Raw genomic sequence first — 26782 nt, forward strand, 5'->3', positions numbered from 1 at the left:
ATGATCACACCACTGCATTCCAGCCTGAGCAACAGACTGAGACCCTGTCTCTAAAAATAATAAATAAAAAAAAAAGTGAACAACAGGCAATAGATGCTGGTTTTAAACTAAACACTCAAGGTTGTGCTGAAGACTGTCCACAACCTCCCAGCAAGGCAGGCATTACCTTATCCCCATTGTCCAGATGAGGAAACTGAGGCCAAAGGAATAATGGAACTTATTGGAAGCTGGGATTTGAACCTGGGCAGCTGGGCTCCAGCCCTAGTTTTTAAGCATTAAATCAGGAAAGTAAAAAAAGTTGACAGCTCCTGGCACTCAGTCAATGCTCATAAATATTTCATTGCTGAAAACATATCATTATTTGCCCAAATGCAAGTCTAGCTTTGCCCCCAATACCTTCCACCCACCCACCTGGCATGGAGGGGCTCTCTGAGGATGTCTGGGGGATAAGCTGGAAGAAAACATGCCCTGGAATGGGCCTGGGGACAAGGGGAGCTGACACGGGCTGAGGCAGAAGAGCTGTGCTTCAGAGCCCCATCCACGTGCCTTGGGTCATCCCTGCAAAGTGGGATGAGAGTCCCTTTGACACAGGAGGAAATGGAAGCCCAGAGAGGCCAGGTGGCTTCCCTGAGCTCCTCCAGCGGGGAATAGCAGGCCTGTCTTAAACATGCGGATGCAGTTTAAGCCCAGGCCTGTCTGCAGTTCAGGCTCTTTGTTTGTTTTGAGACAGGATCTCTTGCTCTGGACTGCAGTGGCACAATCGCAGTTCACTGCAACCTCTCACTCCTGGGCTTAAGCGATCCTCCCACCTCAGCCTCTCAAGTAGCTGGCACTACAGGTGCGTGCTACCACGTTCGGCTAATTTTTGTATTTTTTCTAGAGACAGAGTTTCACCATGTTGCCCAGGCTGGTCTCAAACTCACGGGCTCGACCGATCCACCTGCCTTGGCCTCCCAGAGTGTTGGGATTACAGGTGTGGGCCACTGCACCCGGCCAACTCAGGTTCCTATCTCTGGACTGCAGAGTAGCTCCCCCATGACCCCAGGCACCCCAATGAGGGTCCAGACAAATGGGGACGGGCCACCTTACAGGTGAAGGGATGGATTTGCAATCACACAAATGGGATTCAGGTCCCAGCTCTGCCCCTTCTCAGCTGAGAGAACCCAGGCAAGAGATTTCACCCTCTAGACCTCATTCTGCCCTCTGAAAAATAGAGACAAAAATAGTTTTGTATCCAAATGTGCTGAGGGTGCTTGACTCAGTGCTTGGCACACAGTAAGTGCTCAATAAAGGCTTGCCACCATCATAATAGTTGTTAATGCAACCCAGGGTTGGCTAAAGCCAGACAGAACCTTGTACCCAGAGTTCATAACAGCAGCCACTTATCTCAAGAGATCGGAATTAATCTTTAACAGGTGAATTCTGCTCCAAATGGGCGATGTGGAGCATTCCAGAGGGCCCACTGGCATGAAATAAATGTTATCTTGGCTCCCCAGACCCTATCTGTGACAACAAGAGGAGCTGTTACCTGGGTCCCTATAATTTGGAGAACGGACTGGAGTGTCTTTCCCAAAGTCAAATGGGGGAAACTGAGGCAGACAGCAGGGTCAAGGGCCTGCATGGAGTAGAGACACCCACTTCATGTAGACCCCATCCCCCTAGGAACAGAGGAAGGAACTCAAAGGACTTTGACCATCTCAAAAGTATTTGTTCAGACAACCATGCCATAGATACTGACTGAGCACCTACTATGTGCCAGGCACATGAGGCTCAGTCTTGTGTGTTTCCTTCCCTCCTACATCTCCTTCCAGCTGCCGCTCTCCACTCAGAGCTTGGATGACTTCCCCAGCCTTGGGGCCAGCCTCTCTGTCTGAGCTCCTCCAATCTTTCCCACTCTGCAGCCACAGGGACCTTTCTAGAACAGACAAACAACCGTGTCACTCCCAGGCAGGACTTCTGGGCCTCTGGGTCTGATTTAGCTCCTGCCTGTCTGATCCCTCACCCTTTCCAGTCACGTCACAAACTCCAGACAAACAGAACTATTTCTCTGCTCTATAAACCCCAGGTGTAGCCACCTGGTAACAGGTAAAAGTCATATCTCTGCTAGTGCCATTCTCTTTGCCTGAATACTCTTTCCTCTACTTCTGCATTTATTCTTTAAGGTGCGGCTTAAACACTACCTTGACCAAGCCCTCGTGGGTCCTTCCTGGGCCAGTCCTCCTACCCTACGGCATTCTCCCCTGACCCCATCCATTCCACAGCATACATTTACTAAGCGTCGGCCATCCATGCACACCTTGCTAGATGCTCACAAGTCAGGTGTGGGAGCTCCTCCCCGGGGGGCCACAAGGGAAAATCCTTCTTGCCTTCACACGCCTCAGGCTACAGCGAAGCTGGGATTGGAAGCATCTCACTGCTCCAGTGCCCAGCCCAGAGCTGGCACAGGTGAGCTTGCAGAGAGCATTTGCTGGAGGAGGGAGTAAGTGGCAGAGGCCCAGTTGGCACCAGATAAGGCAGGAGGAACCTCCACAGCCCCTTCCCCAGATATAAGGTATCTGGGTTTCACCTGGGGAATCCCAGCCATCCTCACCGGAGCTCATGTGAAACATCCCTCCTGGGGGCATCACACCCTTTTTGTTCAGGCAACCATTCCCTGGTTACCTCCATTTCAAAACAGCCCCACCTTGATCTTACAAAGTGAACCGCCCTGAACTATGACTGCCATTTGCCATTTGTGTCTGGGACCCCTTCCGCGTGCAATTCACCAATCAAGGTGGGTGTCCAGGCTTTCTGGTTCCCATCATTCTTCAAACAGAATGAACTAGAGAAATGTGGAAATGGCCAATTGACTTTTTTCACCCTCTTTGTTAAGAAAATGTTTGGGGCAACGACAACTGGTTAAACATTGATGGCAGCCAACAGTGGCTGTGCCAGGTTCCTGGAAGGTCATCGGTCCTCACGACAGCCCTGGGGGCTTGCCCTCAGGCACCCCAGTATTACAGAGGAGAGAACACAAAGGCTCAGACAGCTAAGGGACCAGGCCAAGGTCACACAGCAGGGGACTGCAGAGCACACCCCGGGCCCCACACAGGCCCGCTCTTAGCCCCGCAGATAACCCAGGCCTGACCTTTCTACCCTTGTTCCCCCAAAAGCCCACCTCGTCACCCTCCTCAGGAGCCCGGGGAGTCCCGACTTACCCTCTGCCCTTGCTCCGGAGCCAAAGTGGCAAAGCTTAAATCCTCAAGCGGTTCTTAGCATCCCAGAACAAAGCTCCCACAGGGTATCTGCCTAACATTTCAGGGGTTCACGGCCCCTCTGCCCCCAGCAGAGGCTCTTGTTTTAGAAGCTGAGCCAGAACAGCCACAGGGCCCACCTCTGCCCTGCCACTTCCCAAGCACCCCGGGGGCACCAGGCCCTGTGTGCAGAGCTGGCCCCAGGACAGGCCACCTGGTGTGGTGGGAAGGGCTTTGGGGCTGGATAGTCCCTGGGTTTAAATCCCAATTGTCTAGATCCCCGACCTAAGCCTCAGTTTCCCCATCTGCAAAACAGAGAGGACAGACAGAGGGAACAGCTGGGGCAGGCTGGAGCAGTGGGTGGCTCGATGAATGCATCTGTGGTTGGTGTTTCCAGGCAAGCGGGGAGTGTGGGAGTCTCTCTCTCCCCCACCCCCACCCCCGCTACCCACCCCCAGGAGCCACCCGCCCCCGGGACGTCCTGAGAGTCCAGGGCAGAACTAGAGGTTAAAGATTTTCATGCCTCTTGGAGGAAACAGCCGTCTCTCCGGGACTCAGTAACCAAGAAGAAGCCTTTGGAAGCTCCAGACTCCAAATTCCCTCCGACATGCTCAGGGGCCAAGGGCAAACCTTAGGTCCCCCGAAATCCCTCTTCCAAGTCTCCTAAGGTGGGCTGCAAGGCTCCGGGCCTTTGGTTCCCTGGCTTGGGGTCTCAGGGAACCGAACCGCCCTCCCCCCAGACCTGCTACCCCAGGCCCCACGTTGGTGCCCATTTCACAGGTGATAAAACCGAGACCCAAAGAGCCGGTGTCCGGCCCAAGGGCACTTAGCTGAGAGGCTGGCGCCTGCGGAACCTGGTGCCTTCCGTCTCCCGCGCCCCTGGCCCGCATTTTGGAGCCTCGGGACCCCCCGGAGCCGGACGGGCCACGGAGATGTCCCCAGGGGCGCGAGGGGACCTCGGCTGAGCCGCCCCTCCCGGGCCCGGGCCCCACTTACCTCCGGGACGGCTGGGCGCCGGCGGCCGGGAGATCCGCGCTTCCTGAATCCCGGCCGGCCCGCCCGGCGCCCGTCCGCCCGCGGGTCCCTCCTCCGCCGGCTCAGGTTCCAGCCGCGCGCCGCCCCCGGCCAGCTCCCCGCCCACCCGCCGGCTCGCGGACCCCGCCGAGCGCAGGCCCTAGAAGGGGCGGCCCCTACTCGCACCCCGCCCGCCCAGCGAGGGCCTCCCCTGCGGGGGAGGTGCAGGGCCAGGGCCTCAGTTTCCTCGCCTGGAAAATGGGTGTCGCGATCCCCGGATAGAGCGGCAGACGGTCTTTGGAGAGGGCTCTAGTTGGAATCGGCTCCGATTCGATCTTGCTCCGTGACTTCGGGCCGCCCTGGGACTGTGTCCTAGTCTCTAAATGGGCGTCCCGGCCCAGTCCTCCACGTGTTTGCTCATTCATTCATTCAGCAGACAATTTCCTCCGAGGCGTTGAAGGAGGTCCCTACCCTCGGGTATGGCCCATAGAGATGGTTCAGGGGTAAATAAATGTGAGCTGCTCTCCTTGGTCTTCACCCAGTGCTTACTGCGAAGCCTGCCTCGGAGTAGGCCATCAATGTTTTGTTGCTGTTGTTTTTGAGACAGGGTCTCACTCTGTTGCCCAGGCTGGAGTGCGGTGGCGTGATCAGGAATCACTGCAGCCTCAACCACCAGCGTTCAAGCAATCCTCCCGTATCAGCCTCCCTAGTAACTGAGACCACAGACGCCTACCACCATGCTTGGCTAATTTTATTTAAATTTTTTGCAGAGATAGGGTCTCACTATGTTGCCTAGGCTGGTCTCAAACTCCAGGCTCAAGCGATCTACCCACCTCGGCCTCCCAAAGTGCTGGGATTAGAGGTCTGAGTCACCGTGCCTGGCTCAATGCGTTTTTGTTTATTTTTTTTATTATTATTATTATTTTTGATACATGTTCTCCCTTTGTCACCCAGGTTGAAGTGCAGTGGCATGATCACGGCTCACTACAGCCTCAAACTCCTGGCCTCAAGAGATCCTCCCACCTCAGCCTCCTGAGCAGCTGGGAGTACAGGCATGCGCCACCACACCCCACTAATTTTTATTTTTTTGTAGAAGGGGGGGTGGGGGAGGGCAGCCGGTCTACAACTCCTGGCCTCAAGTGATCCTCCCACTTCAGTCTCCCAAAGCACTGAGAGTATAGGCATGAGCCACCACACCTACCCATGTATTTTCTTTTATCAGATAACAAAGGTGGGCCCCAACACATAGCCATACCCTCTACCCAGCACTGAGTCCACTTGAATACCTCCACAGGATGGGCAGCTCACTTCCTCCAGGGTGGTTGGAAAGCCTAGCAGGCCCACAGCTTGGCTCTGTGACTCTCTAACCCAGCAGCCCTATGCAAGTCCCTTCACCTTTGTGCCTCAGTGCCTCTACATCCCCCTGTAGAGTGGGGCATACAAAAGTCCTCACCTCACAGTCGCAGTGAAGATGCTGGGAGCATCCAGGCTGTGCAGAGCCCTTTTTTTTTTTTTTTTGAGACAGAGTCTTACTCTGTCGCCCAGGCTGGAGTTCAGGGGTGTGATCTCAGCTCACTGCAACCTCTGCCTCCTGAGTTCAAGCGATTCTCCTGCCTCAGCCTCCTGGGGGCTGGGATTACAGGCATGCGCCACCACGCCAGGCTAATTTTTTGTATTTTTAGTAGAGACAGGGTTTCACCATGTTGGCCAGGCTGGTCTTGAACCCCTGACCTCAGTTGATCCACCCACTTTGGCCTCCCAAAGTGCTGGGATTACAGGTGTGAGCCGCCGTGCCCGGCCCAGAGCCATGCCATTTTCATCATTAGTGTTTTCACTAAATTGAGCTGACTCAGGGACTGTGGGGTAGCTCCTTCCTCCTCAGCTTGAAAATAGCAGCATCTCTCCTGAGGTCCAACAGCTGGAAAGTGAAATTTTAGAATTGCTGGGTGGGGAGGCGAAAGAGAGAGAGAGAGAGTGTGTGTGTGTGTGTACCCCTGAATAGGAGTGATGTGTTCACCTCCAGCGTGAAACATTTACAAAGAAACAAACCCTAATAATTAACTCACTGAGCACAGAAGCCTAGGGGATGAGAGGGAGAACAGGCTGTGAGGTAGGGTTTGCTCTACCCATTTTGCAAGTGGGAAACTGAGGCTTGGAGAGGAGTATGGCCTCTCCAAAAGCTGCTCCCTCCATGGTGGGGGTTGGGGTGGGAAAGAGAACCCTCTGAGGGTCCGGAGTAAACAGGCAGATGTCTGGCAGTGGAGAGGAAGGTAAACACAGGGCCCCTCACACCTCCCTGACAGACAGCTATCTGCTGGGGGCCCTCAGGGCTGGGGCTGGGGCTGGGCCAGGTTGAGAGTGGAGGAGTGAGTCTGGGACCCATTTCTGCAGAAAGGCCTGTCTCAATTTAAAGAAAATGGCAAGGGTGATTCCAGCCATAAGGCAGCTGATGTTGGGGACTGGAACTGGGGGAGATGGGGCCAGGGATGGCGACCTCCTCTTCTCTAAGCTCAGAGGGAAGGGGCCTGAGCGCTCAGCATCATCATCACTAACCCAGCTCTTTCCTGATCCCCATTTCACAGATGGGGCAACTGAGGCCCCCATGTAGGGAAGTGACTCATCTTGGGCTAAGCAGCTGGAGCTTGGCCTCTGCACCAGACACTGGGGTTCAAATCCTGCCCTGCCGCTGATGGGAGAAGGAGCTGTGGTGGGAGCTGTGGGCAAGAGCCTCCCTCTCTCTCTGTGCCTCAGTTTCCTCACCTAAAAAATGGGTACCAGTGTCCATGAAGCAAGGGAACGTGTTCATGACCACAGGTCTAGCACCTGGCACTTAGTAGGTGCTTTAAAAATACTGGTTGATGGGTCAGGCGAAGTGGCTCATGCCTGTAATCCCAGCACTTTGGGAGGCTGAAGTGGGCAGATCAACTGAGGTCAGGAGTTCGAGACCAGCCTGGCCAACATGATGAAACCCCGTCTCCACTAAAAATACAAAAATTAGTTGGGCATGGTGGTGGGCACCTGTAATCCCAGCTACCTGGGAGGCTGAGACAGAATTGCTTGAACCTGGGAGAGGGAGGTTGCAGTGAGCAGAGATCGTGCCACTGCACTCCAGCCTGGGCAACAGAGAGCGACTCCATCTCAAAAAAAAAAAAAGTCCTGGTTGATGGAGCTGGGGGAGAGGAGAATGGGAGGTTGCTGTTTGTTGGGCGTAGGGTTTCAGTTTTGCAAGATGCAAAGAGTTCTGGAGATGAACGAGGGTCACACAACAATATGAATATACTTTTTAAGTTTAATTTTTAATCTTTTTTTTTTTATTTTTAGAGAGAGACAGGGTATTGCTCTGTAGCCCAGGCTGTAGTGCAGTTGCCTGCTCATAGCTCACTGCAGCCTCAAATTCCTAGGTTCAAGCGATCCTCCTGCCTCAGCCTCCTGAATAGCTGGGACTATAGGTGTGTGTCACCAAGCCTGGCTTTTTAAATTTTATTTTTTGTACAGGTGAGGTCTCGCTATGCTGCCCAAGCTGGTCTCAAACTCCCGTGCTCAAGTGATCCTCATAACCTGGCCTCTCAAAACATTGGGATTACAGGCATGAGCCACTGTGCCTAGCCAGAAATAATGTTTCCTCTTAGGGAAGGAAAAACTTTCAAGGCCCTCAGCATTGGCTGTGAGTCATGTGGCAGCCACATGTGGGGCGCAGCCTTGCTCTCCACGTAGCTCCTGGACTGCCCCAGGTGGACTCAGCTACCTCCCCTAAGAAAGGTTCCTGGGCAGCAGCCAAGGGTCTGCATTTACCAAGTGCTTACTGTATGCCAGGTCCAGTGCCAGATGCTGGGGAGAGATTGGTGAGCCAGACAGGTCAGGATCTCAGGGACTTTATACCCAGGGTACCCAGTTATAAAAACAAGACACGTGCACCTCACTTTACAGTTGGCACAGTCCTGATCCTGCCACTAACTCAGTTCATCTTTTGACAGCCTGGAAAGGAGGAATTCTTCCACCATTTTATAGATAATGACACAAAGAGGCCACTTGTCTGAGATCATCCCACAACTGGTAAGATTTGAACCCAAGCCCAGCAGACTCTACAGTGTAGCATGACCAGCAGGAATATTTTCCTGGCCAGGTGCGGCGGCACACACCTGTAATCATAGCATTTGGGGAGGCTAAGGCAGGAGAATCACTTGAGCCCTGGAGGTCAAGGCTGCAGTGAGCTGTGTTCAGGCAGCTACACTCCAGCCTGAGCAACAAAGTGAGACCCTGTCTAGGAAAAAAAGAAAAAAAGAATATGATCTCAAAAAGACAGACCATAAGTGTGGATGAGGAAGTGGAGAAGCTGGAATCTTCGCACACTGCTGGTGGGAATGTGTAATGGAGTGGCTGCTATGGAAAACGGTCTGGCAGTTCCTCCAAATATTAAATCTAGAGTTACTGCCAGGCACGGTGGCTCCCGCCTGTAATCCCAACACTTTGGGAGGTCAAGGCGGAAGGATCACTTGAGGCCAGGAGTTTGAGACCAGCCTGGCCAACACGGTGAAACCTCATCTCTAATTAAAAAAAAAAATACAAAAATTAGCCGGGCATGATGGTGGGCACCTGCAATCCCAACTACTCAGGAGGTTGAGGCACAAGAATTGCTTAAGCCCAGGAGGCAGAGGCTGCAGTGAGCTGAGATTGTGCCACTGCACTCCAGCCTGGGCAACAGAGTGAGATCCTGTCTCAAAAAAAAAAAAAAAATCTGGAGTTCCCATATGACCCAGCAATTCCACCCCAGAAATATAGCCAAGAGAAATGAGAACTTACGTCCATAGAAAAACTTGAATGTTCATAGCAGCATTATTCATAATAGCCAAAAAAAGAAAACAACTCAAATTCTCAATGGATAAACAAACACAGTATATCCACACAAAGGAATACTATTTGGCAATAAAATGAATGGTTACTGAGTCATGCAACAACATGGATGAACCTTGGAAGCAGGATGCTGAGTGGCCAGACACAAAAGGCCGCATATTACATAATTCCATTTATATGAAATGGCCAGAAGAGGCAAATCTATAGAAACAGAAAAGAGCTGAGTGGTCGTCAGGGGCTGGGGGGAAGGGAGGATTTGGGGGGCCAAGGGTAATAGCTAAAGGGTATGGGTTTTCTTTTTCTTTTTCTGTCGCACAGGCTGGAGGGCAGCAGTGCAACCACAGCTCACTGCACCCTCTAACTTCTGGGTTCAAACCATGCTCTCACCTCAACCTCCTGAGTAGCTGGGACTGCAGGCGCATACCACCACACCCAACCAAATAGGATGATGCAAATATTCTAAAATTGACTGGTGATGGTTGCTCATATGTATGACTATACTAAAAACCACTGAAGGCCAGGCACAGTGGCTCATGCCTGTAATCCCAGCACTTTGGGAGGCCAAGGTGGGAGGATCACGAGGTCAGGAGTTCCAGACCAGCCTGGCCAACATGGTGAAACCCCATCTCTACTAAAAATATAAAAATTAGTCGGGCGTGGTAATGAGCGCCTGTAATCCCAGCTACTCCGGAGGCTGAGGCAGGAGAATCGCTTGAACCTGGGAGGCAGAGGTTGCAGCGAGCTAAGATCGCATTGTTGCACTCCAGCCTGGGCAACAGAATGAGACTCAAAAAAATTTAAAAATTAAATTAATAAATAAAATAAAAACCATTGAAGAGTACACTTTAAGTGGATGAATTGTATGGTATATGACTATCTTAATAAAGCTGCTGTGAAATTTTCTTTTTAAAAAAAGAAGAAGACAGCCAGGTACAGTGGCTCATGCCTGTCATCCCAGCACTTTGGGAGGCTGAGGCAAGAGAAACGCTTGAGGCCAGGAGTTCAAGAGCAGCCTGGGCAACATAGTGAGAAACCACTTCTACAAAAAAAAAAAACAAGAAGAAGAAGAGGAGGAGGAGGAAGAAGAAGAAGACATGATCTCTAGGATCAAAACGATTGGGTGTGGCTCTATCATACTTCTAAGCTGTGACCTAGGGCAGGTGACTTTGCCTCTCTGAGCCCTGCTTCTCTCATCTGTAAAATGAGAGCAGTAACTTCCCCTGCCTCTTCAGGTTGTAGGGATTAAACACAATAGGGCTTGTGAGGGCTGGGCAGTTCGGGAACACAGTAACTGTTCAATAAATAGTCCCACAATGGGGCCCCGCCTCCTCCAAGACTAACTTCATGTGCCCTCCCACCCAAGCGCTTCCAGCTTCACCCAGTGCTCTCCCGTGTGTTCCTTCACATCTCCCTTCCCAGCAACCCTGTGAAGTGGGCATCAGTTTCCCCATTTGATTGTGCCCATTTTACGAATGGGAACTACTGAGTCCAAAAGACAGCAAGCATAGCTCTCCTCCTCACTCCCCAGGCAGAAACTTCTTTCCTCTCCTTCCCCACACTCCCTGCTGTCCTGCCCCTGCTCTCTCCCTTCCTTCATTCCATGACCCCTCCCCAACCCCGCCCCCTCCCCTTAGCCCAGCTGGGGGTTGGTTTAGGCCAAGAGTTAATGTCGGGGTCCCTGGGGGCCTGGAATGGGTCTCTGAGGTATGGATGTAGCCAAGGCCACCATGTGGGGTTGGACCCCTGCAAATCCCAGCCTCTCAGCCCCTCCTGCACCAGCCTCTCAGCCCCTCTTCCCTCCTCCCCATCATCTTCATCTCAACCACCCCTCCCATGGGCAGGTCTTCTCCCCTACCTTTTGCAGACCGACAGACTGAGGCTCCACACACAGTGAAAGCCTTTTACCCGAGGAGATAGATACCTGCCAATGGTGCCATCAGGATTCAAATCCAGGATATTCTGAATTCCAACTGCACCTTTCAGCCACTAAGCAACCGCTTCCCACTGTCCTGTGTGCCTCAGGACCCACCGAGGGGGGTCCCTGTTCACACCCCCTAGGATGAGATCAGGGATAGGCGTGGGGTGGGAGATATGGAGAGACATTCTGGTCTGCCTTCTTTGCTCTTTCCCCAGTGAATGCCACACAGGGGCTCAAATCATGACGAAAAGAAGGAAAAACACAGGAAACTAGGGAGGAAAGGGTAGGGGAAGCACCAGGGCTAACAAGTATGCATTTATGCACTGCTTGCTGTGTGCCAGAGGCACTGTGTAGGGCTCTGCCTTCATGAGCTCTATCCAGCTGCACAAGAGGAAGCACGCCCAGAGAGGTGAAGGAACCTCCCCACAGTCACACAGCAGGGAGGAGACAGGGTCTGATGGTCTCCCAGGTTCCCCATGAAATCACATCTTCCATTTACCAAGAAGCCACAGAGACTGCACACAAAGAGGCTGCAGACAATCAGTGCTCTGTCCACCCTGGTCCCGAGAATAGCAAGCTTTTGTCCCAGACAGCAGGGCCCCACCCTGCCAGGGACCTTCAATGAGGCTCTTCTGGAATTCTCTCTGGGCCAGAAACCTGAGGCCAGGTGGAGAGGAAGCTCATCTCAGATGACCGTTGCCATGGGCACAGCTACTCTCAGCTGCCCAGCCACTGGCTGTGATTCCATTCCTCTGGGCAGCTGGGCGTGGTGGCCTGTGGGTAGGGCCAGTCACAGCTGGCCACGGGCACTTCAAAGATAGCCTCCATATGAAGGTGATGGCACAGGCAGGGATGGGAGTGTCTAGGCCTCGGTCCCAAGGAAGGCAGGCTGATTCAGGACTTCCAAGCTGGGGTCCCTGGGTGGGCAACTGGGAGTCCATGGAGGTCCTAGAACAGGGAGTAAAATTGTGAGGGGGTGAGGGAGCACCTTCTAGAGAGAGGATCATGACTTTCAGAGGCCTGGGGACACCCTCCCTACTCCGTGCCCCCAACAAAGTAAAGCACACTTTGTGTGAGGAAGTCTCACTTTACCCAGCCATGCAGGAGCAGAGGTTGGATTGGGGCAGGGGAGGGGACAGCCTCTCTTCCGAGTCCCCCAAAGGAACCCCTAGAAATAGATCCTGGCTAACAGCTTGCAACCTGTAAACTGGCTCTGTCGCCCCCTACTCACAGGAGCGATGACTTCCCCTGTTCTTAGACCAAAAACCACACTCACGCTGGCCTCAGCACCTGTAGGTTTCATCACCCACTGCCACCCTCTCTTGTTCTCCAGGCTCTGGCCACCTTGGCCTCTCTCTGTCCTTGGTGCATGTTGCTTTCTCTCCTGCCCCGGGGCCTTTGCACTAGCTATGCCCCTTCAGGTCCCAGCTGAAATGTCACCTCCTCAGAGAGCTCTGCCCACCCGGACTCCAATCTAAATCAGGGGTCTGTAGTCATTTCCATCACATGACCCCTTTTGCTGTCCTCCACTGCTCATTTCCCTCTCTGGATTCATTGCGCACTGGACCTTGTTGTACCCCTGGGGAATAGAGACCTTATCTGTCGGCCGGGCGCCCCCGGTGGCTTACGCCTGTAATCCCAGCACCTTGGGAGGACGAGGCAGGTGGATCACCTGAGGTCAGGAGTTCAAGACCAGCCTGACCAATATGGTGAAACCCCATCTCTACCAAAAATACAAAAATTAGCCGGGCATGCTGGCGCACGCCTGTAATCCCAGCTACTCGGGAGGCTGAGATAGGAGATTCGCTTTAACCTGGGAGGCGGAAGTTACAGTGAGCCGAGATCATGCCACTGCACTCCAGCCTGGGCAACAGAGTGAGACTCTGTCTGAAAAAAAAAAAAAAAGAGAGAGAGAGAGAGAGAGACCTTATCTGTCTTCTTGCAAGATCCCCTGAGCCGAATTCAGAGCGTTGAACATAGTAAGTGCTCAGCAAACAGGGGTTGAATGACTATCCCTTCCAAACAATCTTCTCTGGGTCAGATCAAGGACTGATTAAGGGTGCATCATCTTCACAGCTGCCCTTTATCCAGCACCCCCTGGCAGGAGGCGCTGTGCTAAGTGTATTTGCATTTGTGGCCCCATTCCTTGTCAGAAGCAGAGTGTAGATTTTACTGAACTTATAAATACAAACCGGGAGCTGGATACAGTGGTAAAAGGTATCCATTGGCCGGGTGCAGTGGCTCATGCCTGTAATCTCAGCACTTTGGGAGGCCAAGGCAGGTGGATCACCTGAGGTTGGGAGGTGGAGACCAGCCTGACCAACATGGAGAAACCCTGTCTCTACTAAAAATACAAAATTAGCTGGGCGTGGTGGCCCACTCCTGTAATCCCAGCTACTCAGGAAGCTGAGGCAGGAGAATCGCTTGAACCTGGGAGGCAGAGGTTGCGGTGAGCCAAGATCACGCCATTGCACTTCTCCAGCCTGGGCAACAAGGGAGAAACTCCGTCTCAAAAAAAAAAAAGGTATCCATTGTAGATTGTCAGAGCTGGGCAGGAACTTTGAACTATCTAATCCCAATTTTGTTTTATTTTTATTTATTTATTTTTAAATTTATATATATATATTTTTTTCAATAGCTTTTGGGGAACAAGTGGTTTTTGGTTACACGGATGAATTGTATAGCAGCGAAGTCTGAGATTTTAGTGTTCCTGTTACCAGAGTAGTGTACATTGTTTTTACTTATTTTTTTATTGACAGGAAATATTTTACATATTTATGAGGTACAAGTGAGTGTTACGTGTACAGAATGTGTTATGATCAGGTCAGGGTATTTGGGGTATCCATCACTCGTATTTATCATTTCTGTGAGTAGGTAACATTTCAAGTCCTCCCTGCTAGCTACTTTGAAATATACAAGCCGGGTGCGGTGGCTCCCGCTTATAACCCCAGCACTTTGCGGGGCTGGGGTGGGCAGACCACTTGAGGTCAGGAGTTCGAGACCAGCCTGGCCAACCTGATGAAACCTCCGTCTCTACAAAAAAATACAAAAATTAGGTCCAGGCATAGTGGCTTACGCCTGTAATCCCAGCACTTTGGGAGGCCGAGGCGGCTGGATCACTTGAGGTCAGGAGTTCGAGACCAGCCTGGCTAACATGGGGAAACTCCATCTCTACTAAAAATACAAAAACATTACCTGGGCTTGGTGGCGCATGCCTGTAGTCCCAGCTACTCAGGAGGCTGAGGCAGGAGAATCACTGGAACTCAGGAGGCGGAGGTTGTAGTAAGCCAAGATCGTGCCACTGCACTCCAGCCTGGGAGACAGAGCGAGAATCCATCTCCAACAACTACAATGACAACAACAAAAATTAGCTGGACGTGGTGATGCGTGCCTGTAATCCCAGCTACTTGGGAGGCTGAGGCAGGAGGATGGCTTGAGCCTGGGAGGTGAAGGTTGCAGTGAGCTAAGATTGGGCCACTGCACTCCAACCTGCGTGATGCAGACAGACATTGTTTCAAAAAAATAAAAGAGAAAGAAATATACAATACATTTTTGCTAACTATAGTAGTCACTCTACTCTGCTATGGAATATTGGGGCTTATTTCTCTACCTAACTATATGTTTGTACCCATCAACCAACCTCTTTATCCCGCCCTCCCTCTATCACACCCTTCCCAGCCTCTGGTATCTATCATTCAAGTCTCAAAAAAAACTTTTGTTTTTTTTAGATGGAGTCTAGCTCTGTCCCCCAGGCTGGAGTTCAGTGGCGTGATCTCGGCTCACTGAAATCTCTACCTCTTGGGTTCACGTAATTCTCCTGCCTCAGCCTCCCAAGTAGCTGGGATTGCAGGTGTGTACCACCACACCCAGCTAATTTTTATATTTTTAGTAGAGACAGGGTTTCACCATGTTAGCCAGGCTGGTCTCGAACTCTGACCTCAAGTGATCCGCCCACCTCGGCCTCTCAAACTGCTGGGATTACACACGTGAGCCACCATGCCTGGGTTATCATTCTATTCTCTATCTCCACGAGATCTTTTTTTTTAAACTCCCACAAATGAGTGAGAACATGCAATATTTGTCTTTCTGTGCCTGCCTTATTTCACTTAACAAAATGACCTCCACTGCCAGCCATGTTGGCTACTAATGACATGATTTCATTCTTTCGTAAGGCCAAATAGCATTCCATTGTCTGTATATACCACATTTTCTTTCTCCACTGTCCATCAGTGGGAATTTAGGTTGCTAATCCCAATTTTAAAGATGAAACTGAGACCCAGAGGACAGAAGAGGTTTGCCCAGAGTCATACAGCGGATCAGGGCAGAGTGAGAGTTGAGAATGCACAACATTTTCTGGTGTTCCTTGTTGATGTGTTGAGAAGGGCCCTACTGTATCTTCAAGTACAAGGAGTAGGCCAGGAGTGGTAGCTCATGCCTGTAATCCCAACACTTTGGGAGACTGAGGTGGGCAGATCAGGTGAAGTCAGGAGTTCAAGACCAGCCTGGCCAACATGGTAAAACCCTGTCTCTACTAAAAAAAAAAAATACAAAAATTAGCTGGGCCTGGTGGCATATGCCTGTAGTCCTGGCTATTCTGGAGGCTGAGACAGGAGAATCACTTGAACCCAGGAGGCAGAGGGTGCAGTGAGCCGAGATCATGCCACTGCACTCCAGCCTGGGGGAGAGAGCAAGACTCCATCTCAAAACAAACAAGAACAGGGAGTAGGTGAAAATGATCCGGTTTAACTAACTGCATTAAGAACCAGTTGTCCTTTCAGGAGCCTTTGGCAGGCTGTAGCATCATAATTAATAAAAATATTAACACAGTCCATTTATTGAATATCTTCTATGTGTCAGGTATTTTACACGCCTTATTTCATGTAATACTGCAAGGTAGAGATGTTTCTGTCCCATTTCACAGATGCAAAAACTGAGGCTCAGAGAGGGGAACTGACTTGTCCTGGGCACACAACTTCAAAGTTTCAGAACCTGGACGTGAACCCAAGAATTGTTAGGTGGTGGTGGTGCTGGTGGCAGTAGTAGCAGTGAAAATAACAGGACACACCTAATGACCCTCCACACTGAGGCAGGTGTGAACTCAGGGCCCCAAGACACCTGCTGGAGGAGCTGCAAACTTTCCCAACAGTGTGCAAGTGAGGCTTCTCACGTAGCCCTTAGGAAACAGCCCAAGCACGGTAGGAGGACAAGTTCTCCTGCCCCTCCTGCCCTCCCTCCGTTCCACCCACTTTGGGAGCGGGCAGGAGCCTGGTGGGGTGTGGGGAGGCGCAGGGCCTGGCGGGGCCTCCCAGCTCTGCCTCTGCGGCACAATGGGGACAGCGCCACCTACCGGGCCCGTGGGAGCTGCAGGGGCTCAAGCGCAGGCGCTCAATGCGCAGGCGCAGGGCTGTGGGGCCGGCGTGAACCCGGGAACCCATCCACCAACCAACCAGCAAAACTGAAGGGTCGTGTCCCCATATAACCTCCTGCAAACGACGGTAATTGGGTCAACATTGAACGATTACGCAGATAAGCGCCTGCCCGGGCAGCTTCATTGACTCGGTGAGCTAGAAACTGTTGGTATTCCCATTGTATGGATGAGGAAACTGAGGCTCAGAGGGGTGAAGTGAGCTGTCCAAGTCTACTTCCCTAATAGACGGCCGACCCAGGACTCCAGTATTCGATCTCATCAGGCTACGCCCCACATCACGTAAATATATCTTTGCAGTTTTATTGAACACCTGAACACCTACTAAGGCAGCTTACTATGCTCCAAACATTGTTCTAATTACCTTACAAATGGTAACATTTAATTGAAGCCTCACAACAAGACCTGTGTGTTACGGATAAGGAAACTGAAACTCTGAAAGGTGAAGTTGTAACCGAGTCCAAACTCCTTCTGCTCCCTGCATGATAGCCACTCAGTCGAGAGGCCAGGAGTTGGAGCAAGGAAAGCGACTTTATTTTGGAGAGCCAGCAAACCTAAATGGCCTAAATGTTCTAAAGAGCCCTCTTAGAATTATATGCTCTTGGGCCCGGTGTGGTGGCTCATGCCTGTAATCCCAGCACTTTGGGAGGCCGAGGCGGGTGGATCACAAGGTCAAGAGATGGAGACCATCCTGGCCAACGTGGTGAAACCCCGTCTCTACTAAAAATACAAAAATTAGCTGGGCGTGGTGGTGCACGCCTGTAGTACCAGCTACTCAGGAGGCTGAGGCAGGAGAATCGCGTGAACCTGGGAGGCAGAGGTTGCAGCGAGCTGAGATAGCGCCACTGCACTCTGGCCTGGGCAACAGAGTGAGACTCCGTCTCAAAAAAATATATGTATATATGGGCTTGGCTTTGTCTTATATGTTAGGTAAGGGAGGAAAGAAACAGGCAGACATCTGGGTGCCAGCAAGGGTCAGGGGGAAGTTTGTGAAACTTCTTTGTCCTTGGGTAATGGTCTCTCATGTGACAATAGCCAAATCTCCTTGTTCCTATAAATCGTTAACAAATTATAGTTGTCTACATACTTCCTCTTTAATCCCAAAGTTAGTTTTGAAAACTATGTGATTGCTATTTCTGCATTTTATCTCAGTTGCTCTAAAATTATCCTAGCCTTCATACAGGAATGGGTAAAGGCCTTTAAACAAAAATGGACCAGTCTGGACAACATAGTCAACACAAAAAAATTTTTTTAAAGATTAGCTGGGGCCGGATGCTGTGGCTCACGCCTGTAATCCTAACACTTTGGGAGGCCGAGGCGGGTGGATCACCTGAGGTCAGGAGTTCGAGACCAGCCTGGCCAACATGGTGAAACCCTGTCTTTACTAAAAATACAAAAGGTAGCTGGGTGTGGTGGCGGGCACCTGTAATCCCAGCTACCTGTAATCCCAACTCGGGAGGTTGAGGTAGTAGAATTGCTTGAACCCAGGAGGTGGAGGCTGCAGTGAGCCGAGATCACACCACTGCACTCTAGCCTGGGCAACAGAGCAAGACTCCTTTTCAAAAAAAAAAAATTAGCCAGGTTTGGTGGTGCATGCCTGTAGTACCAGCTGCTCGGGAGGCTGAGGCAGAAGGATCCCTTGAGCCCAGGAGTTTGAAGCTGCAGTGAGCTATGATTGCACCACTGCGTTCCAGCCTAGGTGACAAAGCAAGACCCTGTCTTTAAAAAGACAGAAGTTCTTCTGCTGTTTAATTGTTACAAAGTGAATTTCAGTTCCTTGTCTATAACAGTGATGTATTACAATGGGTTTGACATGTTGTATTGTAATGGGCTCAGTGAGTTTTAACTGAATGAATCAACAAGTCAATGTCAACCCTCGTCAAACATTTGAGCTAATTTGGGTTTCTGTATGGTTAACCTGGGTCAGATAAGGCAGCACCCCATCAGTGGGAACGCTCTGGCAGGAGGTGTGCTGAAAATAGGCTCACTGTCAGCTGGCACACAAGTGAACACGGCTGAGGGGAGATTTGGAGTTGGACATGAAACTTCTGTGGCCCCATATCTGGCTGGGTTACCCTGGGCAAGTCTCTTTGCCACACCCTTTGGGGTTCAATTTCCTTCTCTGATAAACGGGGCTACTGAGGTCCACGTCTCAGGTGGTTGTGAAATGATTTGTGTAGAGCACTTTTGCAGGGCCCGTTATATAGTGACCAATGTGTGTTGTTTCCTCCCTGCCCCAGATGGAACTCAGTCCCACTTTGACAAGGATGAAACGGGAAAGGCATAGATGCCTTTCTGGCTTTTGTCTCTGGGGTAGAAAACCCAAAATGTTCCCAGGGTCCCCGCAGGTACTAGGAACGGGGGCTGGGCTGGGAAAATCCCTGCCTTCCACAAAAAAATTGCCCTCCCGGTCTCACCGTATTATGTTAGAGGCATAAAGAAAAGATCTTTTTGAGACGGAGTCTTGCTCTGTCACCCAGGCTAGAGTGCAGTGGCGCTATCTCGGCTGACTGCCAGCTCCGCCTCCCGGGTTAATGCCATTCTCCTGCCTCAGCCTCCTGACTAGCTGGGACTACAGGCGCCCGCCACCACGTCTGGCCAATTTTTTGTATTTTTAGTAGAGACGGGGTTTCACCGTGTTAGCCAGGATGGTCTCGATCTCCTGACCTTGTGATCCGCCCGCCTTGGCCTCCCAAAGTGCTGGGATTACAGGCGTGAGCCACCACGCCCGGCCAAGAAAACATCATTTTAAGGCCGAACACAGCGGCTCATGCCTGTAATCCTTGCACTTTGGGAGGCCGAGGCGGACGGATCACTTGAGGTCAGGAGTTTGAGACCAGCCTGGCTAACATGGTGAAACCCCATCTCTACTGAAAATACAAAAATATTAGCTGGGGTGGTGGTGCGCACCTGTAATCCCAGCTACTCTCCTGCTGAGGTAAGAGAATCACTGGAACTCGAGAGGCAGAGGTTGCAGTGAGCCAAGATTGTGCCACTGCACTCCAGCCTGGGAGACAGAGCGAGATTCCGTCTCCAAAAACAACAACAACAATTTTTTTTTTTAATTTAAAAAATTAGCCGGACATGGTGGCGGGGGCCTGTAATCCCAGCTACTCAGGAAGCTGAGGCAGGAGAATTGCTTGAACACAGGAGGTGGAGGCTGCAGTGAGCCGAGACTGCACCAATGTACTCCAGCCTGGGTGACAGAGCTAGACTCTGTCTCAAAAAAAAAAATCACTTTAAAAAGGAGAGACAGAATTCTGTATTTCTAAGAAATCCAAAGGAAAAAAACCCTAAAAAGCATTTAGAGCTTAGAATGAACAGTAACATCCCTAATCTGAGGACTATTAAAAAATATAATAAAATTGGCCGGGCACGGTGGCTCACACCTGTAATCCCAGCACTTTGGGAGGCCAAGGTGGGCGGATCACAAAGTTAGGAGTTCAAGACCAGCCTGGCCAACATGGTGAAACCCCGTCTGTACTAAAAAATATGAAAATTAGCTGGGCATGGTGGCAGGCGCCTGTAATCCCAGCTACTCGGGAGGCTGAGGCAAAGAATTGCTTGAACCCCGGAGGTGGAGGTTGCAGTGAGCCGAGATCGCGCCACTGCACTCTAGCCTGGGCAACAGAGCGAGACTCCTTCAAAAAAAAAAAAAAAAGAAAGAAAGGAAGGAAGGAAGGCAGGAAGAGAAAGAGAAAATATAATAAAATCACAGACAGGAAAAAACTTATTTCAGGCTTCCATCTCTTGACCACGTTAGAGGGAGCTTTCCAAACTGGGTATCTGCATATACCTGGGTATATGCAATTGCACACAAGAGTCTTGAAGGTGTCCATAATTTTCAGGGTCAGGTTCAAATCTCTTAATGGTGCAATGTGACACACACATACACAGCCTGCTCTGGGTCAAGCCACCAGGTCTTTGCCTGTGCCTTGAAGTGTCCCCTGACCCTCCTCTTCTACTAGGCTTCCCTACCCCCGAACTTCCACAGAGGCTTGATGCATGCCCCAGTTCCCTAAGATACATCCCAGGACACTGCCTCTCCTCTGAGGCTCCAGGTTCCCTCTGGGAACTGACCACTCTATTTCATCATTATTGATTTACCGGTCCATCTTGCCCACTAGATTATAAGCTCTATAGGAGCAGGAACAAAATAAAATAAATATTTCCCTCTACATTTAACCCTAGAATAAGAAAAAACAACAGCCCATGAAAAAGTGCAAACTGGTCCGGGGTGGGGAGGCAACAGGGATGGGTGGAGACTAAGGCAAAGTGAAGAACTGATTCCCCTTTCCCTTGCCCTGCCCAGCCAAGGGGGCAGTCGTCTCTCAGCTCCCACCAGGCAGCCTGGTTTTTCAAAAGAAGCTAGAAACCCAAGGTTCTTTTCTTAATTATACGTTACATAGGTATACACGTGCCATGGTAGTTTGCTGCACCTATCAACCCGTCATCTAGGTTTTAAGCCCTGTATGCATTAGGTATTTGTCCTAATGCTCTCCTTCCCCTTACCCACCACCCCTGACAGGCCCCAGTGTGTGTTGTTCCCCTTCCTGTGTCCATGTGTTCTCGTTGTTCAACTCCCACTTATGAGTGACAACATGCAGTGTTTGGTTTTCTGTTCCTGTGTTAGTTTGCTGAGAATGATGGCTTCCAGCTTTATCCATGTCCCTGCAAAGGACATGAACTCATTCTTTTTTATGGCTACAGAAACCCAAGATTTTTTTTTTTTTTTTTTTTTTTTTTTTTTTTTTTTGAGATGGAGTCTCGCTCTTATCAGCCAGGCTGGAGTGCAATGGTGCGATCTTGGCTCACTGCAAGCTCTGCCTCCTGGTTCCAAGCAATTCTCCTGCCTCAGCCTCTGAAGTAGCTGGGTTTACAGGCACCCGCCACCACACCTGGCTAATTTTTGTATTTTTAGTAGAGATGGGGTTTTACCATGTTGGCCAGGCTGGTCTCGAACTCCTGACATCAAGTGATCCACCCACCTCGGCCTCCCAAAATGCTGGGATTACAGAAGTGAGCCACTGCACCCTGCCGAAACCCAAGATTCTTATGTGAAATTCCCGTTTCTCCATGCAGCAACCAGTTCTGTTTTTTAAGACCACGGAGGCCAGGCCTGGTGCAGTGGCTCATGCCTGTAATCCCAACCCTTTGGGAGGCTGAGGCAAGAGGATTGCTTGAGGCCAGGAGATTGAGACCAGCCTGGGCAACATAGCAAGACCCCAATCTCTACAAAAACATTTAAAAATAATAGATAAATAAAATTTTAAAACCATGGACGCCAGAAAATACATTCTTGGTAGGATTTGTAAGGGTCCCCAGTTGTAATTTCTGATGCAGGAAAGAAAAAAAAATCAAGAACCAATACAGTGCACAGATGTGATTCCAAAATAGAGATTTATTTATTAAGGATTATTTAGTTTCTGCATAAAAATCTCCAATTGTTCCTCATTGGGTTTTTTCTTTTAAAACACACATCAACTCTTTTGGGGTTGCTTTGTTTGCCCCAGCACTTTAAAAAATACAGCTCTTTTTAGCGCCAGGAAGAACAGTTAAGGTTAAGGCAGTGAGGCGTTTTCTTGGATCTTAGCAGCTGAAGGGTTCATCTCTCCCCGTCAAGAGAATACACACGGTAGGTAGTTTCTTAGGTTGGAAAATCTGTCCCTGAAGGAAATAATTCTGCAGAAGAATGCAAACGGAGTCATCTATGGTCAATTGTTTGTGCCCTATAGCTTTGAAAGAAACGCCTCTTGGTCATCAAGGGCTTGCTGGTTGGTTTCAGCTGTAAAACAACAACAACAACAACAAAAAACAACCAGAAAAAAGAAAACAAACAAAAAAATCTGTCTAGCGAGACAGAAAGAGCAGGGTTTACAATAGTGCTGTGAGGCTGGGCTGTGCAAACCACATGAGAATACACACCAGTTTGCTTTTTAAAAAATCCCACATAGGGGCCCTGCATAATTTTAAATCAAACTCTTTATAGTCCTTAAAATAACAATACAGCGAGAGCCTCATAAGGTCACGTGCTTTTTTTTCTTTTTTTTCTTTTTTGAGACAGAGTTTCGCTTTTGTTGCCCAGGCTGGAATGCAGTGGCGCGATCTCGGCTACTGTAACCTCCACCTCCCAGTTTCTAGCGATTCTCCTGCCTCAGCCTCCCAAGAAGATGGGATTACAGGCGTGCGCTACCATGCCTGGCTAATTCTATATTTTTAGTAGAGATAGGGTTTCACCATGTTGGTCAGGCTGATCTCAAACCCTGACCTCAAGTAATCCACCCACCTCTTTTTTTTTTTTTTGAGACAGAGTTTCGCTCTTGTTGCCCAGGCTGGAGTGCAATGGTGCGATCTCAGCTCACTGCAACCTCCACCTCCCGGGTTCAAGCGATTCTCCTGCCTCAGCCTCCTGAGTAGCTGGAACTACAGGCGTGCGCCACCATGCCCAGCTAATTTTTTATATTTTTAGTAGCGATGGGGTTTCACCATGTTGGCCAGGCTGGTCTCAAACTCCCGACCTCAGGTGATCCACCCGCCTCAGCCTCCCAAAGTGCTGGGATTACAGGCGTGAGCCACGGTGCCCAGCCATCATGTGCTTATTTTTAAAGCGAGGTGGATGACACCATTCCCCCAGAGCTGTGTTCCTCGTTGGCAACAAAACAAAACCAAAAAACCCTAGGACTTGACTCATTAGAAGTGTTAATCGGTTTTTACCACGCTGAAATGAAGGTATAAAGTCAGTCTGTGCTGTCGTGAAATTCCAAGGAGATTTGGAAGTAAGATCATTATTTACTGGTCCTTTAGAATAGACCAAAAAAAAAAAAAAAAAAGACTTAAAAAACGAGGGCTGTCCCCTGCAGACTCTGGCAGGACCCTGGGCTGCTCTGGGGGACACAGGCCAGGGGCAGTTCACCGACTTGATTCACAGTGATTCTGGTTTGCCTGTTTCTCCATGTGGCCACGAGTCGGGGACGTGTCCAGCAGTGGGCATGCCTACACCTTGTAGTTAAGCTCAGCGTTCATCTGGGTGTACATCTCGTAGATGACATCGATGGTCGCCGTGTAGTTGACTAGGAAGAGGCGGATCTTCTCCAGGCACTCCTCCTCCGTAACATTCTGCCCCTTGGAGAGCGCTTTCAGGAAGTCAGACTTATAGGGTGCTGCGTACAGTGCTGCCTTGAGACAGGCAAGAAGGGAGGTAGGCACAGCGTTAGCGGGGGCTGAGGAGCCAGGCCAGCAGGCCAGGGTTCTGGGAGGGGTCTTCCCTGGGTCTGTGCTGGACAGGGGGTTGTGCTATTTGAGGTGTTGGAAGGGAAAGGAAAAGGGAGGTGTATTTTGAGCGACAGCAGGAAGGACATCAGCTTTCGGGACAGACAAGCCTAGATGCAAATGCCAGTCTGGGCCATCAACTAGCTGTGAGCCTTGAGCAAGTCAGTTAGCCTCTCTGAGCTTCAGCTTCCTCATCTGCAAAATGGGGATAATGGCTGCCACCTAATCGGGTTGCTTTTATAAGGATTAGGGGGCTTGTACAAAGTGCTCAGCACAGCACCAGGCATACAGTAGGCACTCAGCACAACACCAGGCACACAGTAGGTGTTCAGCATGGGTGAGTCTCTTCCCTCTGGGTTCCCTGCTCCAGAAAAGGTGAACTGCTCCTTCGGAAAACCCACTTTCTGAGTTGGGGAGACGACTGCTAAATATGCTGTAGTCTCTCTTTTGTCCTTAGGGGGGCGATACTTCCCTAAATTTCAGAGCTGCTCCCATACTTGAAAAGTACAGAGAATTCAAAATTCACAGAATTTCAGAGCCAGAAGAAAAAAGGTACAACTAGATAAAAAGCTTAGGCTAGCCAAGCACGGTGGCTCATGCCTGTAATCCCAGCACTTTGGGAGGCCGAGGTGGGCAGATCACAAGATCAGGAGTTCGAGACCAGCCTGGCCAATATGATAAAACTCCATCTCTACTAAAAATACAAAAATTAGCCAGGTGTGGTGGCTGGCATCTGTAGTCCCACTACTCGGGAGGCTGAGGCAGGAGAATTGCTTGAACCCGGGAGGCAGAGGTTGCAGTGAGCTGAGATCACGCCACTGCACTGCAGCCTGGGTGACAGAGCGAGACTCCGTTTCAAAAAAAAAAAAAAAGTTTAGGCCATGAGTTTGATAGGATGAGGAAAGTATAAATATTATTTAAAAAATTTTTTTAGACATAGTCTCACTCTGTCCTCCAGGCTGGAGTCAGTGGCGTGATCTTGGTTCACTGCAACCTCCGCTTACTGGGTTCAAGTGATTCTCCTGCCTCAACCTCCCGAGTAGCTGGGACTACAGGTGCCCGCCACCATGCCCAGCTAATTTTTTGTATTTTTAGTAGAGATGGTGTTTTACTATATTGGCCAGGCTGATCTCCAACCTGACCTCAGGTGATCCACCTACCTGCCTTGCCTCCCAAAGTGCTGGGATTACAGGCATGAGCCACCGCGCCTGGCCAAATATTATTCTTTCATAATAAAAGCAGTAATAGCTAGGGTGGTGGCTCACGCCTGTAATCCCAGCACTTTGGGAGGCCGAGGTGGGAGGATTGCTTTGAGCTCAGGAGTTCGAGACCAGCCTGGGCAACATGGTGAAATCTCGTCTCTACAAAAAATACAAAAATTAGCTAGGTGTTGGTGGCTCGCACCTGTAGTCCCAGCTACTCAAGACACTGAGGCTGGAGAATCGCTTGAGCCTGGGAAGTGGAGGTTGCGGTAAGCTAAGACTGTGCCACTGCACTCCAGCCTGGGCGACAGCGACAGAGTGAGACCCTGTCTCAAAAAAAAAAAAAAAAAAAAAGTAATAGCTTTGATGTACTGAGTGTAAACCATGTGAACCATGTGTCAAGCACTTTATAGTGATTAATTCATTTAATTGTCACAATGACTCTTTGAGTAGTGCCTATTTTATACCCATTTGAAAGATGATATTGAGGCTCAGGGAGGTAGGATCACAGCCCCCCATTTCTGTGTTGTGTGACCTTGTCTGAGCGTCACTGTCCTCATCTGGGAAATGGAAGTGAGAACAGTGCCCACCTTGTGGTGCATCTGTGAAGATTACAATTCATGGGCAGCTGCCCTGGGCCAGGTACACAGGACACACTATTACTACTGACGTGGTGGTTTGAGGATTTGTAGGGGCAATGCACTGTGGAGCTCTCGAGGGGCCCATGGGAATGGGCCCTGTCTACAGCTCTTCCGGGGTGGATGGCCCAGGGGCTGCCACGCATCTCACCCTATGACCAGCTCTTCCTCTCTGGAACCATACTGGCTTCTGCCCCAGCCTGCTTGCAGACTGTACCCCACAGGAACACTGTACAGGGCCCGTCAGCCCCTCGTTCTCATGGCCGCCAGGGTGGGCAGGCAGAGGGAGCTGCAGCAGAAAGGGTGGCCAGAACAGGCCGGGCAGGAACACGTGGGTGAGATGAGGGCAGCAAGCAGCAGGTGAAGGGCATGGCGCAGGGCAGCCGGAGGGCCTTCGCAAGTCTCCTGAGCAGGGCTGTCCGCCTGGTGATCAACTGTAGGGCCCTCACCTAACCAGGCAGGTGCTGAAGCCTCACCTCCAGGAGCCCTGGCCAATGTCACCCCAACACAAGCCACCAAGAACCCAGAGGGCCGGTGTCCTTTCAGCAGATGCTCCCAGGGGAATGGGAGCTGAATTTGAGGGGTCGAATTGGAGGGGTAAATTTGAGGGGCCATCAGGCTGGGCCACTTTTGACCTGGGGTCCTCCAGGGCTTTCCCTGTGGTTTCTCGTCGCCCCACCATCAGGCCTTGCAGGCCAAGGCCCCTAAAGAGAAACACCGTGGAGTAGCTACAGTGACACCCGCTGCAGCTGTGAATGGGGCTGGCCAAGGGCACGGGAGGGGGACCTCTCAGTACACTAGCCTCACCCAAATAGATGAGGGAGCCCTTCCTGAGCCCGAGGGGGTAAACACAGCCTCACAGGCCAGGAGGCCTCGGCTAAGCAGGGGCAGAGTGGGGAGCAGAATCTGCAAGCTGGTGGTCCTTTGGGGCTCATGGGGGTGGCTCACCTGGAAGATCTTCTGCACGATCCAGCCATGGTACTTCTTGAGGGCCATCTCGTAGGCCTTGGTGGCGTTGACACGGATGAGGTTGGGGTGGTTCTCGTCCCGCTCCCCGTCGCAGATGCTCTGGAGGAAGACCTGGATGAAGCGGAGGCCTCTGTGGCCCAGGGAGGAGAAGGTTCGTTAGGACCCTGCACAGCCCTGTCGTGAAAGACCCTGATGGACTCTGAATTTGCCACCTACTGTGAGCCAGGAACATGGGCGCCCCAGAGGGAGTGGTTATTCCCTAA

At 50.8% G+C, this 26782-nt stretch overlaps 2 protein-coding genes, 1 long non-coding RNA gene and 1 other non-coding gene across 8 annotated transcripts in view, besides 1 other annotated feature; 1 reads left to right on the top strand and 3 right to left on the bottom strand.

The window, feature by feature from the left end:
* Positions 1-4278, bottom strand: part of TRPV4 (transient receptor potential cation channel subfamily V member 4) — a 50312-nt gene extending 46034 nt beyond the window's left edge. For all 4 annotated transcript variants that reach the window (XM_047429295.1, XM_047429293.1, XM_047429294.1 and 1 more), the window contains exon 1: positions 4230-4278. The gene's annotated coding sequence lies outside the window, so the exon portion shown is untranslated. The remainder of the gene's footprint in view (positions 1-4229) is intronic.
* MIR4497 (microRNA 4497) lies at positions 4228-4316 on the top strand. Its single transcript, NR_039718.1, has one exon. It is a non-coding gene; the product is annotated as a microRNA 4497 (primary transcript).
* On the bottom strand, positions 11207-14362 carry LOC105369975 (uncharacterized). Its single transcript, XR_945333.2, has 2 exons — positions 14212-14362; positions 11207-11964 (listed from the first exon to the last, which is right to left on the bottom strand). It is a non-coding gene; the product is annotated as an uncharacterized LOC105369975 (long non-coding RNA).
* Positions 16201-16480: a silencer, noted in NCBI's record as "silent region_4844". NCBI's record gives its function as "represses an Ori minimal core promoter by ATAC-STARR-seq in GM12878 lymphoblastoid cells {active_cell/tissue: GM12878}" and the evidence as "EXISTENCE:reporter gene assay evidence [ECO:0000049][PMID:35858748]".
* Positions 21825-26782, bottom strand: part of GLTP (glycolipid transfer protein) — a 29597-nt gene continuing 24639 nt past the window's right edge. For both annotated transcript variants that reach the window (NM_016433.4, XM_047428937.1), the window contains 2 exons: positions 26499-26649; positions 21825-23617 (listed from right to left, as the gene is read on the bottom strand). In NM_016433.4, the coding sequence (NP_057517.1) occupies positions 23435-23617; positions 26499-26649 (334 nt within the window). In that variant the 3' untranslated portion in view covers positions 21825-23434. The remainder of the gene's footprint in view (positions 23618-26498; positions 26650-26782) is intronic.

Source organism: Homo sapiens, chromosome 12 (genome assembly GCF_000001405.40).
Source record: "Homo sapiens chromosome 12, GRCh38.p14 Primary Assembly".
In the NCBI taxonomy this organism is placed as follows: domain Eukaryota; kingdom Metazoa; phylum Chordata; class Mammalia; order Primates; family Hominidae; genus Homo; species Homo sapiens.